The sequence below is a fragment of the Homo sapiens genome, chromosome 15 (assembly GCF_000001405.40).
Source record: "Homo sapiens chromosome 15, GRCh38.p14 Primary Assembly".
In the NCBI taxonomy this organism is placed as follows: Eukaryota; Metazoa; Chordata; class Mammalia; order Primates; family Hominidae; genus Homo; species Homo sapiens.
In genome coordinates, this window is record NC_000015.10 from 101096653 (window position 1) to 101111469 (window position 14817).

General features: G+C 50.8%; 1 long non-coding RNA gene across 1 annotated transcript in view, besides 2 other annotated features; it reads right to left on the minus strand.

Moving 5' to 3' along the window:
- The window catches only part of LRRK1-AS1 (LRRK1 antisense RNA 1), a 109606-nt gene that overhangs the window by 54419 nt on the left and 40370 nt on the right, over positions 1-14817 (minus strand). The window lies entirely within an intron of this gene.
- Positions 5018-5805: an enhancer, noted in NCBI's record as "H3K4me1 hESC enhancer chr15:101641875-101642662 (GRCh37/hg19 assembly coordinates)". NCBI's record gives its function as "activates a minimal SCP1, AML or CMV promoter by ChIP-STARR-seq in naive H9 embryonic stem cells {active_cell/tissue: H9 hESC(naive)}" and the evidence as "EXISTENCE:reporter gene assay evidence [ECO:0000049][PMID:30033119]".
- Positions 5806-6592: an enhancer, noted in NCBI's record as "H3K4me1 hESC enhancer chr15:101642663-101643449 (GRCh37/hg19 assembly coordinates)". NCBI's record gives its function as "activates a minimal SCP1, AML or CMV promoter by ChIP-STARR-seq in primed H9 embryonic stem cells {active_cell/tissue: H9 hESC(primed)}" and the evidence as "EXISTENCE:reporter gene assay evidence [ECO:0000049][PMID:30033119]".

Here is a 14817-nt window from a genome sequence, read left to right on the forward strand (position 1 = left end):
AAGGTTAGGTAAACAGGAAAGTCGCCTTACTGAGCAATTTGATAACAGAAAAAACAAGAATGAAATTCTGTCGTGGATGAGCCTGGCACAGAAAGACAAATACCACACGGTCTCGCCCACATGTGGAAGCTGAAACAGTGGGTCTCATGGAAGAAGAAAACAGGAAAGTGGTTACCAGAGGCAGGGAAGGGTAGGAGGAGAGGGAGGATGGGGAGAAGTTGGTTAATGGATACAAAATTACAGCTGGCTAAGAGGAATGAGTTCTAGCGTTCTAGAGCAGCCCTCCCCAGCCTTTTTTGGCACCAGGCACTGGTTTTGTGGAAGACCATTTTTCCGCATCCCCCAGAGTTGGAGGTATAGTTTTGGGATGATTCAAGCGCATTTCAATTATTGTGCACTTATTTCTATTATTATTACATGGGACTATGTGATGAAATATTTATACAACTCATCATATTGTAGAATCAGTGGGAGCCCTGAGCTTGTTTTCCTGCAACTAGACGGTCCCTTCTGGGGGTGATGGGAGACAGTGACGGATCATCAGGCATTAGATTCTCATAAGGAGCGTGCACCCTAGATCCCTCACCTGCGCGGTTCACGATAGGGTTTGTGCTCCTATGAGAATCTAACACCGCTGCTGATCTGACGGGAGGTGGAGCTCAGGCGGTCATGTGAGTGATGGGGAGCAGCTGTAAATACAGATGAAGCTTCGCTCGCTCCACTGCCTCTCACCTTCCGCTGTGCAGCCCGGTTCCTAACAGGCCACAGACCAGGACCAGTCTGTGGCCGGGGGGTTGGGGACCCTATTCTATAGTACTGTAGGATGACTACAGGTAACAATTTCTTTTATTATATATTTTCAAATGGCTTGAAGAGAAGAATTTAAATGTTTCCAACACAAGGAAATGATAAGTGTTTGAGGTGACAGATATATTAATTACCCGAATACGATCACCACACATCGTATAAATGTATCAGAATATCACACCATACCCTACAAATACATACAATTATGTGTCAATTAAAAATAATGAAAAAAAGGCCAGGCGCAGTGGCTCACACCTGTAATCCCAGCACTTTGAGAGGCCGAGGCAGGCAGATGACTTGAGGCCAGGAGTTTGAGACCAGCCTGGCTAACATGGCAAAAACCCATCTCTACTGAGAATACAAAAATTAGCCGGCGTGGTGGTGCCTACCTGTAATCCCAGCTACTCGGGAGGCTGAGCCAGGAGAATCGCTTGAACCCAGGAGGCAGAGGTTGCAGTGAGCCAAGATCAAGCCATTGCACTCCAACCTGGGTGACAGAGCAAGACTCCACCTCAAAAAATAATAATTAAAACAAACAAACAAAAAAGAATAAGTTAGAATAGGACAAACAGTATTTTTACATTGGATGTAAAACTTTTAAACAGTTAAGAGGCATAAAACTACAATGAGATACCACTTCACATGCTGTAAGATGACTATTATTAAAAAAAAAAGAAACATAAAGGGAAATCGGTGTTGGCAGGGATGTGGAGACCCTTGAGATCCTTGCCGCTGTTGGCAGAATGTAAAATGATTCGGCCACTGAGAAAAACAGTATGGTGATTCTTCAGAAAGTTAAACATAAAATTACCACCTGATCTCTCAATTCCACTTCTGGGTGTATACCCTAAACAATTGAAAGCAGGGACTCATACAGGTATTTGGAGACTCATGTTCATAGCAGCATTGTTTGCAATAATTAAAAGATGGAGGCCGGGCTCACGCCTGTAATCCCAGCATTTTGGGAAGCCGAGGCGGGCGGTTCACGAGGTCAGGAGTTTGAGACCAGCCTGGCCAACATAGTGAAACCCTGTCTCTATTAAAAATACAAAAACTAGCCGGGCATGGTGGCACATGCCTATAGTCCCAGCTACTCAGGAAGCTGAGGCAGGAGAATTGCTTGAACCCAGGAGGCAGAGGTTGCAGTGAGCCTAGATCGTGCCATTGCACTGCAGCCTGGGCGACAGAGTGAGACTCCATCTCAAAAAATAAATAAATATAAATAAATAAAAATAAGATGGAAACAACCCAAACGTCCATTCAACAGATGAATGGATACACAAATTGTGTTCTATCCACATGATGGAGTACTATTCAGCCTTCTAAAAGAAATAAATTTTGACATGCTGAAACATGGATGAACCTTGACAACACTGTGCTACATGAAATAAGCCAATCGGAAGAGGACAAAAACCATGATCCTACTTATGTGAGGTACCTAGAGCAGTCAAATTCATAGTCAGAAAGTGGAATGGTGGTAGCCAGGGGCTGCGGGGAGGGGGAATGGGGAGGTATTATTTAATGGATACAGAGTTTCTGCTTGAGATGATGAAGAAAGTTCTGGAAATGAATGGCTGTGCAGCATTGTGAATGTACTCATTGGGAATTACTGCCACGGAACTGCATACTTAAAAATGGTTAAAACGGTAGAATGTGTGTTATGTATATTTTACCATAATAAAAGAAGAATTTAAAGTTATAAAGCATTCTTAACTTCTGTAAATAAATTTTCTGGGAAACCAAGAGCAAGTCAAAACAAGACAGTGTGGTTTTGCAACGCAGCATCACCAGGGCCGCCAGGCTGAGGGGCCACAGACAGGTCCGGGTTTCCGTGGCTGCCACCCAGGCCGGCTGAGATTGAGGCAGAAGCTAGCTGAGGTGGAGGGGTCTTCAGAGCCTCCACGGAATGCCCTGGCCCTGGGTCCTTCATCCCAGGAGCCTCTCCACTGGGGGAGCACTGGGCCTTCCACCGGCACCTCCTGCAGATGGGGCTGAACCTCCATCAGTTCCCTGCAAAACCACAGTTCTACCCTGTAACCGCCGTGGCCTGCCAGCCACGTAGACCCCAGGCCATGAGTGGGCCTTGCTAAATGATATCTGTTGGCAGCCCAGGGGAATGCAGGAGCACGGGCTGAGGCATGAGACCCAGATCCAAATCCTGCCCCCCTCTTCTTCTGTGCTGACTGACCCCGGCAAGGCCTCAGTTTCCTCAACGTTCTCACCTGTGAAATGGGAAAGATAGTATCTCACAGGACTACTGTGAAGGTTCATTAGGAAAATGTGTATAAATCACTTGGCCCAGAGGAGGTTTTTTCAATAAGATATTAGTTATTTGCTCTTGTTGGTTCATAAGTCACACAAATTTAATTTCAGAAGTGAAACCTGCCTGGGCGTGGTGGCTCGTGCCTGTAATCCCAGCAATTTGGGAGGCCAAGGCGGACGGATCACGAGGTCAGGAGATGAGACCATCCTGGCTAACACGGTAAAACCCCGTTTCTACTAAAAATACAAAAAATTAGCCGGGCGTGGTGGCACCTGCCTGTAGTCCCAGCTACTCGGGAGGCTGAGGCAGGAGAATGGCGTGAACCCGGGAGGCGAAGGTTGCAGTGAGCCGAGATCGCGCCACCGCACTCCAGCCTGGGCGACAGAGCGAGACTCCGTCTCAAAAAAAAAAAAAAACAAGAAAGAAACCCAGGCGTCCCTCCCTCCCAGTTAGTGTCCATCCACGCTGCGTCTAATGGAGAACCTTCCATGTGGTAGTCAGAGCCGAGCCCCGGGAATAGAAGGAGCCATCTCTGAAGCTGCCGGGAGCTGAGGGTTTTGCAGTAGAATAAAGAGAACAAGTCAGCGTGGGGCCAGCCCGGGGCCCCCAGCATAATCGATGCCTGTGTGGCAGCCATGGTGCTGGTGACCATTGAAGGCCAGAGGCGAGAGAGTCGCAGCTTCGGTGCCGGGAATCCAGCAGCTGCTCAACACACATTGGTTGCCTGTGGCCCATTTTGTCAATAAGAAAATTGAAGCTCAGAGGCTAAGAGGCTCACCTGGGACCAAACAGCGGAGGCTCCAACTCCAGGCCTCTCTCCAGATTCCTCTGGAAGAGAATCCACATGAGAACAGGAATCCTACACTCAGGGCTGGGGGCAAAGGGTCTCTCTCGGGACTCAGTGAAAGGCTTCAAGCCTGATCTGGCTGAACTTCCCAGCAGAAAGCTGGCCTCTGCCTCCCAGTCATGCGGGTCCCTGGCTGGGAGAAGCCCCTTTCTAAGTGGATGCCATCAGAATCTGCAGGCTGCCCCGTGGCTGGGCCTTGGCACAGCTTCCTCTGCCAGCAGAGGGGGCAGCCTGGCAGGGGGAGTTGGAAGCCTGCTTAGCCACTGTCGAGGGGTTGGGAGGTCCTGTTCCCTCGGCCTAAATGGTCACTCTTGTCAGGAGGACAGTCAGGGCTCGCTGGCCTCACACCAGGGATGACACAGGCTCCAGGGCAATGGTGACCCTCACGGCCTCACCTCACCAGGGAAGCTGTCAGACACAGGCTCCAGGGCAATGGTGACCCTCACGGCCTCACCTCACCAGGGAAGCTGTCAGACACAGGCTCCATGGCTCGTTGCTTGGCCAGATCCCACGAACAAAGCTCGCTCCGGAGCGCCCCTCCACCATGACGGCTGGGGCCCTCGGTGCCAGGGGAAGTGAGACGATGCAAACCTCTGGTCCTCAGGCCCCTCCGGAGATGAGTATTAATTACCCGAAGGCAGGCCGGGCCAAGCTCATTCATTCCCAGCCGGTTTCAAGACCCGGGGGAAGCAGGATCCCGCTGAGGGATACAGGTGGAAAGGAAGGATGAGAGTCCTGGGGTCCCCCTCCTGCCCCTAGACCACCCGAGACTGACCAGCTCGGGACCGAACAGCTGTGTGCCAGAAGCTCTGAGAGCCTGGTGCGGGCACACGCTGTGGAAGTTTCCTCGGAAGCAGCCCCACAAGCGATTCCACATTCCAGGCTGGGACCCCGCAGCCTCCCAGCCTCCTCACCCGCAGTGGGGAAATAAAGCTTCAGGGGTTGTTGGGGATGAGGAGCGGATTTTAGGGAAGCGCTCTAGCTGCCCCACATTGAAGGAGAGCAGACAGCGCTTCCCTCCCCATCTCCAATCGCATAAACAGGGCTCTGTGAGGACCCCCACAAATCTCACTATTGCTCCCCTGCAGCACTGGACACACCACGGATCCACCCCTCCTGAGGATGCCCGATGGTCTGGCACACAGCTGGTGAGAGGTGAAGCCAACTGGACTTCCTGGGTGGAGCAGAGACTTGGAGAACTTTTCTGTCCTACAGGAGGATTGTAAAACGCACCAATCAGTGCTCTGTAGCTAGCAAGAGGATTGTAAAATGCACCAATCAGTGCTCTGTAAAACGCACCAATCAGCATTCTGTAGCCAGCAAGAGGATTGTAAAATGCACCAATCTGCACTCTGTAAAACACACCAATTAGCAGGATCCTAAAAGTAGCCAATCTAAGGGAGGATTGAAAAAAGGGCATTCTGATAGGATAAAAATGGAACATGGGAGGGGACAAATAAGGAAATAAAAGCTGGCCATCCCCAGCCAGCACTGGGATGGCAGAGTGAAGGTAAGGCTAGGCGCATTGCCAAAGTCAAACCAAAAGTTGAGTGCTGTGGGCCACACAGCCTGGACAGCTGTAGGGGGGCCCGAGGACCCAGCTAGAGGGAGGCTCGAGGCACCAGCCCTTAAGGAAATGAGTTCACCAGGTCAAGGACAGTCAGCATGACTGTCCCCAGGGAGTGTGAAGTGGAGCACCTCCTGGAGAGCTCAGTGCCCAGAAATGAGGATCATTTGGAAGCAGCCTGTTGGGTCTCAGGGAACCCATGCCGGATCACCAGGAGGGCAGTGGTCAGGTCGCATCCTCCCAGCTGCGTCCCCTCCTCTCCCACACTGCCCCTTCACTAGGGGTCAGACCTGAGCAAGAGGAGGATGAGAGAAAAGAGAAGATGGCAACATCACCCCTTCCCCAACCCTGGGCTCCTTGTGAACATCACCGGTGGCTGAACAGGTGCAGGCTGAACAGGAGGATGCCCCCACCCCTGGCAGCCATGGGGTGCCTCCACAGAGAATGGTGACTTTGAGGTGGGTTCAAAGAAGTAGGCTTTGCTCTAGATTGGGTGCTCTCAAGGAGCGGGGACAGGCCTCTGATGGGACACCCCTATACATCTTATCTGCAGGGAGGGCAGCCCACAGCAGGGAAGGAAGCAGCCTCACTCAGTTTAACCCAGAGAGGGCATCTGCTGCTGTTGGCTTGCACTGTGACCTGGCTTTTGTCTGTGCTTAGACACGACTGCAGGGTGGCCTTGTTGCACTTCCCAACGGTTGCAGGGGACCTTGTTGGTGCTCTGTGAGGACAGCAGGGCAGGGCTGGGAGTGCCAGGACAGCTCCTAACAACACAAGGCCCAGCTCTAGGGGCCTGGCCAGCTCCTAGACACCAGGGGCTGCTTTGCTCCTTCTCAGTGATGCCCACGAGCCTCAGTGTGGCCTGCAAGGCCCTGTCTGGTCTGATGTCTTAGCGCTCAAAACTCATAGGTTGGTCAGGGGCGGTGGCTCACACCTGTAATCCCAACACATTGGGAGGCTAAGGTGGGTGGATCACCTGAGGTCAGGAGTTCAAGACCAGCCTGGCCAACATGGCGAAACCCCATCTCTACTAAAAATATAAAAATTAGCCAGACATGGTGGAATATGACTGTAACCCCAGCTACTCGGGAGGCTGAGGCAGGAGAATTGCTTGAACCCAGGAGGTGGAGGTTGCAGTGAACCAAGATCACGCCACTACACTCCAGCCTGGGCAACAGAGTAAGACTCTGTCTCAAAAAAAAAAAAAATAAAAAGACCTGTAGGCCAGCTGTGCCACAGCCACACTGGACAACCTTCCTCCCCCCGCTGCCAGGCGCCCCTTCCGGAGCTCCCACTCACACTCCCCCCTCCACCCTCCAGAACCCAACTGTCTCTCCTCTCAATGTCCCCAGAATGAGTTCTCCCAGCAGCATGCCTGTCCTACCTCTGGCGTAATTGTACATTTGTTCCTGTGGTCCCCTTGCCACATCAGCCCCTCGTAGACTATAAACAACACCAGAGCCGACGCTTTTTCTCCTTTGCCTCACCATTGCATTCCCAGCACCATTTCAGTGCCTAGCACTTGATAATTGTTGAATAATAAGCCCAGAGAGACAAACAGGCAAGAGTCACTGGGAGTGCTGCCCGAAGCAAGGTGTTGGGAAGCGGGTGTGGGTTGGGGAAGAGATGCTGTGATCGGCTGGTGATGTCTGCCCTGGGTGTGGAGTGGGAGGAGGTGACACAGGCACCACTGCTGGAACCATGCCCTTCAAACCACAAAGCCCAGAACACTCTCCCAGGCGGGACACAGAGGACTCCAGAGTGACAGTCCCCATGCCCACAAATTGCATTTGCACCTTTGGAAGATCCTCTGATAAATTTAAAGCACGCATCGTCATTACTTTCCAAAATGGTTAGAAATGGGAGAAGACATCCAGGCTGATAAGGCCTTCTCCTCCAGGACAGGAGATTTTTGCTTGGAAAGGGCTACTATCTACTTTGAACACTAATTAGAATATGGACTTTTTGCCAACATTAGAGAATTTCTTAGCTCCCTTCAAAGCCCACGCCCTAACAGGAGCTGAGTAGGCATCCGCATCAGTTCCAAATGAAAGGCAACTTCACTTTCCGATGCATTTTGGAGCCACCGACCAATACAAAGTCAGATGAGCAAGTGGCAACATGGCAGCTGCCCCGTCCCACAGATGGTCCAGGGCTGCAGCCAGGTTTTAGGCAGCAAATGTTGATTGCACTTGTCATAATGCTGGGAAAGAATGTGCAGCTATCCCAAGCTTTCTTAAGCACTTTTTTTTCCCTGTCATAATCCGGAAACCAGTCAGCCTTGGGTCACCCGTCTACACTCCAGCTTTACTTACAGAATTGGTGCCTACAGAGTATCCTCGTGTGCAATCACCCCCTCGTCACCCAGAACCAAGTGACAAACAGAGTATCCTCATGTGCAAGCACAGGACTCACCCCTCGTCACCCAGAACCTAGTGACATTCCCCGCAATGGCATGGCAAGCGCCTCCTTAACAGCCAGTCTTGGGATGAGACTAGCAGGGGTCCAGATTCAAAAAGAAATCCTCCACTAAGTGGTGTCCCAAACCACACAAACCCTTCATGAGTCGGATGTCACCACAGTTGGCACTCACTGGTGTGGCCTTCCAGAACGTGAGCTGACTGTCCCGCCTTCCACAGGCCACACCCTGGCAGGGGTTTACCTGAAGCCAGATGGCTTGTACCAAAATATCCCCACTCTTTTAAAGAGATGGGGTCTCACTCTGCTGCCCAGGCTGGAGTACAAGGGCGCAAATCATAGCTCAATGCAGCCTTATACTCCTGGGTTCAAGCTATCTTCCCTCCTCAGCCTCCCAAGTAGCTGGAACTACAGGCACACACCTCCATGCCCAGCTAATTTTTTTTCCTTTTGTGGACACAGGGTCGAGCTATGTTGCCTAGGCTGGTCTTGAACTCCTAGCCTCAAGTGATCCTGCAGCCTTGGCCTCCTAAGTGGCTGGGACTATAGTCATGAGCCACATTGCCTGGCTCCAAATGTCCTACTCTTGACAAACTAATCCTGACGCTTATACTGTTTATCATCCGATGTCACCCTGATGAGAGATGACAAGGAATGGTGATGATCTGGGTTTTCGCCAGGAAGCCCCGGGCTGGCATTTCACAGGCAAATGTCCCATGGCTCTTGGAAGACTTGGGGAACCTGACTCATGTGATCAAACTCACAGCAGACTTCAGTGTTGAAACAGAACTGCCAAATTGTTAATTTACTTTGAGAGGTGCCTTTTCAAGGAGCTAAATGAATGGATTCCCCCAGAAGGATTTCTGGCTGGAATTTCCAGAAAGCTGAGTCATTGGAATGGCACCTGATGGGCCTCAGAGGGGATCTCAGGGGTTGAGGAGTTTTGGGGGCTGCAGACTGCAGACAAGGGGGGAACGCCATGAAAGTTAGGGCCTAATCTAGCCTCATCCCCTTGGACCTGATGGATAAATCCAGACAGCCACTAACTGCCTGGACTTCCTCTTTCCATGCCAGTGGGTTTTTAAGTTTACAGTTAATAGTGACCCCCTCCCTTTTATGACACATATTGCTAGTCTATAAAATAGACCAAAGCAGTAGTTTATGGGTGTAAATGGATCTCATGTATTCAACTGTATAACCGTGACGGGCAGGGTTAAAATTATTAACAAGAGGAGTTGTACAGCTGCCATGCTCCCCTGCTCTCAGTCAAAGGACAAAAGCCAAAGAGGTCAGTTTTCTTTTTCTGTCTTCAAAGGGAAAGAAAATAATGAGGGTGGGGGCAGGGTATATTCCATAGAGAATGCCACCTACCAGGTTCCCCTCGGATTTCAGCGTTAAAAAATAGGAACACACTTGGAGATTTTAGCAAAAATATCTGGAGGCCAAATAGCTGTTTTGGAAAGGTGTAAATAACATCGGAATTACTATCTGGGCTGTGTTTCTTTAAGAATGATATGTATTCGAGTCCAAATCATGGCAGGGGTGACATTAAACACTGAAGTTTATGGTGGGTGGATTTACATCAGCCTTGTTTCCAGTTTATTTTTGCATTTTTTTCTTGTTTTAGAACATTAAGGAAGTTTTGATTCACAAAGACAATTAGCTCTCAATGGTAACAATTGTTAACAGTTTTGTCACAGGGATGAAAACAGCTTTATTCTAAGGTTTGCACTAAATCGAGTTAACTAGCAGCAAAGTCAATGATTTAAGTTCAAATTTATAAGTAGTTGGTCACACTGAATGTGTGTGAGTAGGAGTGAGAGTGAGATTAAGGGAGAGAAAGAATGAGGCCGGGCGTGGTGGCTCACGCCTGTAATCCCAGCACTTTGGGAGGCCGAGGCAGGTGGATCACGAGGTCAGGAGATCGAGACCATCCTGGCTAACATGGTGGAACCCTGTCTCTACTGAAAATACAAAAAATTAGCCGGGCGTGGTGCTACTCGGGAGGCTGAGGCAGGAGAATGGCGTGAACCCGGGAGGCGGAGCTTGTAGTGAGCCGAGATCATGCCACTGCACTCCAGCCTTGGTGACAGAGCGAGACTCTGTCTTAAAAAAAAAGAGAGAGAGAGAAAGAATGAGAGGGGTGAGAGAGAGGGGCGGGGGGGAGAGAGAGAGAGTGTGTGTGTGTGTGTGTGAGAGAGAGAGAGAGTGTGTGTGTGTGTGTGTGAGAGAGAGAGAGAGAGAGAGTGTGTGTGTGTGTGTGAGAGAGAGAGAGAAAGGAGCAAGTGCATGTGTGCCTGCCTTCGTGTGGCTCAGGACATCTTGCAAATAGTTAGAAGTATATGATAAATGAAAAATGAAAATGAACAAAACATTTGGGGACTCTCCCACAAAACCTCCGGATTCTGCAACCCACCTCTGCAGGCTGCTGCCCCTCTCTGCACCAAACCTTCTCCTCCTACTAACTCATCATCCTCTTCCCGTCCTGCCTCGCTGGATGGAAGTGCTGGCTGACTTCAACCTGACAGGCAATCCCAGAGTTCAGTTCCATTGAATCACCCACACTTTGTTCAAATATTTTAATGATTTAACTTTCAGGGGCTGTATTCGTTTCTGGGGGCTGCCACAATAAATCACCACAAACTTGGAGACTCAAAACAATGATGGAGCCAGAAATTCCAGCTTGAGGGGTCCCAGGGCCATGCCCCCCTCCAGAGGCGCTGCGGGAGAGTTGGCCCTTGCCGCTTCGGCATCTGGTGGCTTCAGGTGTTCCCTGTGGCTGCATTGCCCCAATCTCTGCCTCTGCAGTTGCATGGCCTTCTCCTCTGTGTGTCTGTGTCTCCTCTTCTCTTATGGAGACACTCGTCCTTGGGTTTAAGGCCCACCCAGTAACCCAGAATGGTCTCGTCTCAAGACCTTTCACTTGATTACATCTGTAAGGCCCTTTTTCCAACCGAGATCACATCCTCAGGTTTCCAGGAATTCGGATGTGGACATGTCTTCATGGGAGCCACCATTCGACACTTGGCAGAGGCCAACCTTTCTCCCCATCATGACCATACATATGAGAAGCAATTGACACCTTTCCTGGCCGACAGTGAGGGTGTGATCAAAGGCAGCTGATACCATTCCCCCCACATACCCCCACCCCCGGTCCCCTAGGGCCGGGGACTTTATCTTCTGTTGCAGACTGAATTGTCTTCCTCCAAAATTCACATGTTGAAATCTTAACCTCCAGAACCCCAGAATGTAACCATATCTGGTTGATATAGTCTTTAAAGAGGTAATTAAGATAAAACAAGGTCACATAGGTGGGCCCTAATCCAATATGACTGCTGTCCTTATAAGAAGAAGAGATTAGGACACAGACACTCACAGAGGGAAGACCACGTGAGGACCCAGAGGAAGACAGTCATCTCCCAGCCAATAAGAGGGGCCTGAGAAACAACCACCCCTGCCAGCACCTTGATCTCTAGGTGAACTCCTTGATTTCTTCTGGCCTTCAGGATTGTGGGAAAACGAATTTCTCTGCTGTTTGAGCCAGCCAATGGTTGTATTTTGTTCTGGGTGTCTGCTATGGACTAAATGTTTGTGTCTTTCCCAAATTCATACATTGACACCCTAATCCCCAGTGGCTTGGGCTTAGGAGGTGGGGCCCTTGGGAGGTGATAAGGTCACGAGGGTGGAGCCCCTTATGGTGGGATTAGTGCCCTTATCAGAAGAGACACCAGGGAGCTTGCTTCATCTCTCTCTTTGCTATGTGAGGACAGAGAGAAAGCAGCCATCTGTGAACCTGAAGTGGGCCCTCACCAGATGTCAGACCTGCTGGTGCTTTGATCTCAGACTTCCCAGCCTCTGCTGTGAGAAATAAGGGGTTTTTGTTTAAGTCCCCCAGTCTACTGCAGTTTGTTAGAGCCAGCCGCGCTGATAGGCTTGTGACGCAGGCCTCCACAATCAGTTAATCCTTTTCCCCTTCCACGGAGGGGTCTGTATGCCTGTAGCTGCTGGAAGGGGAGGCCTTCCCAAGAGTGCGACCCGCGCAGGGGCCTGCCGATAGCCTTCAGACCCCAACTCCGACAGTGCTGGTGCTGCCCCAGGGCTTTTCAGTGATGTGAGGCAACAAATTGCCCTTTCTTCTTAAGCTGGTGTGGGCTGGGCTTCTTATCATTGATGGTAAACGATTCCTGCCACTTACCACCAATGAGACTCTCAAGAGACCAGGAGCTCTTCGGTCTGAGGATTCATCAGAAGCTCCACAATAAGCCTCCAGTGCTAGGAGTGGAGCCCCTAACAGGTCCAGCTCAGCAGCAGAAGCCAGCCTGCCCCTGGGGGTCTCCCCACAGCCCCTGTGTGTCAGTTGCCTCATCCCCCCATGAGGTGACACGCTTTCTGGCTCCTACCTCCTGATCCCCAGGGGCTACTGATGGACCTTGGTCCCTGAGTGTCCACGTACCTGTCTACCCCCACTCTGCATCCACACTGGCTGCCCACGGCCGCTCTGGACACCCACGTTACTCCTGCCTGTTAAAGAAATAATTATAAAGATCACAACAAAGAAAAGCGTAACATGGAAATGGTTGCCTGGGGATGCCGGTGTTGTGACTGCTTTTCTCTTTCTTCTGAAATTTACTACACACACATTATGACAACAATGACGGCCGGGTACAGTGGCTCCTGCCTGTAATCCCAGCACTTTGGGAGGCTGAGGTGGGTGGATCACCTGAGGTCAGGAGTTCAAGACCAGCCTGGCCAACATGGTGAAACCCTATCTCTACTAAAAATACAAAATTAGCCAGGCACGGTGGTGCCCACCTGTAGTCTCAGCTACCCGGGAGGCCGAGGCAGGAGAATCGCTGGAACCTGGGAGGTGGATGTTGCAGTGAGCTGAGATGGCACCACTGCACTCCAGCCTAGGTAAGAGAGTGAAACTGTGTCTCAAAACACACACACACACACACACACACACACACACACACACACACACTATAACAACGACAGAAATGCGTTTTTTGTTTGCTTGTTTTTGAGACAGGCTCACTGCCACCTCCTTTTCCCGGGTCCAAGCAATTCTCCTGCCTCAGCCTCCCAAGTAGCTGAGATTACAGGTGCATGCCACCACGCCCAGCTAAGTTTTGTATTTTTAGTAAAGATGGGGTTTCACCGTGTTGGCCAGGCTGGTCTTGAACTCCTGACCTCAGGTAACCCGCTCACCTCAGCCTCCCAAAGTGCTGGGGTTACAGGTGTGAGCCACTGTGCCCAGCAAACAGAAATGTTAAAGTCACTTATTGTCTTCATGATGCAAGGTGACAATGTTTATGCAATTTTTAAAAATTGCTGAGGTGGGAGGATCACCTGAGCCTGGGGAGATTGAGGCAGAGGTGAACCAGGACCACACTACTGCACATCAGCCTGGGTGACAGAGCAAGACCTTGTTTCAAAAAAAAAAAAAAAAATGCTGCTGTACTTTCAGCCCACGGAAGTCAGGAGTCAAGGCATGAGTGCATGTAGTCCACAAAAATAGTACTGATGGTAATGTGTTTAGATGTGTGTCCCCTCCAAATTCCATGTTGGAATGTGGTCCCTGGTGTTGGATTCCCAGCGTTGGAGCCTGGTGGGAGGTGTTGGGGTCACGGGGATGGATCCCTCATGAATGGCTGAGCACCACCCATTGGTGACAAGTGAGTTCTCACTCACTCATTGGATTCATTCATTTGATAAGGGGTTGTTTAAAACAGCCTGGCATCTCTCTTGCTCCTCTCTCCCCATGTGACACACCTGCTCCCCCTTTGCCTTCCACCGTGACTGTAAGCTTCCAGAGGCCTCACCAGAAGCTGAGTAGATGCTGGTGCCCTGCTTATACAGTCTACGGAGCCATGAGCCAAAATAAACTTCTTTTCTTAGTGAATTATCCATTCGGAGGTATCCTTTTATAGCAATGCAAAACGGACTAACACAGATGGTAACAACGAGGGAACTGACTGCTTTGTTAACTAGCACAAAGAGCCCACCCACATGTGGACAATCTCAGGGAAGGCCCATCGGGCCACTCCAAGGCTTGGAGACCATTTTTAGCTTTATTTATTTACTTATTTACACCCAGGACTTTTGAAAATTTCTTTCCCAAAAATAAGCCGTTGCGTTTCTAAATATCTTGAAAAGCGAGGCCCTCTAATGCGAGGCCCCTATCTCTACCACCACGGAATTATCCCCTCTCTATATGGCCTCGTGCACAATTCATGAAGCAGCCTTTCACCACAGCCTGGAGGGCCCCTAACTTTGAGGAGCCACCTCCTTTTTGACCAGGTGAGGGGTCCCAGGAATGAAGGCCCAAGACCCATCGCTGTGTGGTTCAGGCTGGCCAGGTGCTGTGGTCCCAGGGATGCGTGTTCAGTGGCTGGTTTATCTTCCATCCTGGCTGAGGTCACTGAAGGATAGCCAGGGACGCAGGAACAGCTTGGAAATATCTGGACTGTGAGGGAGGTGCCGGGGCTCAGTAGCAGCTGCTCGAGGCCCCCACAGCTCCCGTGGGACCAGCTGACCCCACAGGATGCTGGGAGAGATGACCCATTCACAAAAGCTTGCCAATCGTGGCCTTTTCCAACCTTCCGGACATCAAACGCCCGCTGATGGTGGCCTTTTCCAACCTTCCGGACATTTTTGGGTCCCAGCCTCAGAGGGACTGAGCTGCTTCTGCTATCCTTTACCTGAAGCCTAGGATTTCAGCTCCCTTAATGTGCATTCAGGCTCTGCTCGGCGTGGCCTGCCTCTCCTGGTGCTTCTCCCCCAGACCCCATCGGCCTCTCACTCCTCCCTTTTTGGCAGCCTCTTTGCCCCTGCCTAGAGGGCACCCTGCTCCTCCTTCCCTTGGGGACCTGCTCACTCCTCGCCAGGCCCAGGCCCCACATGCCTCCATCA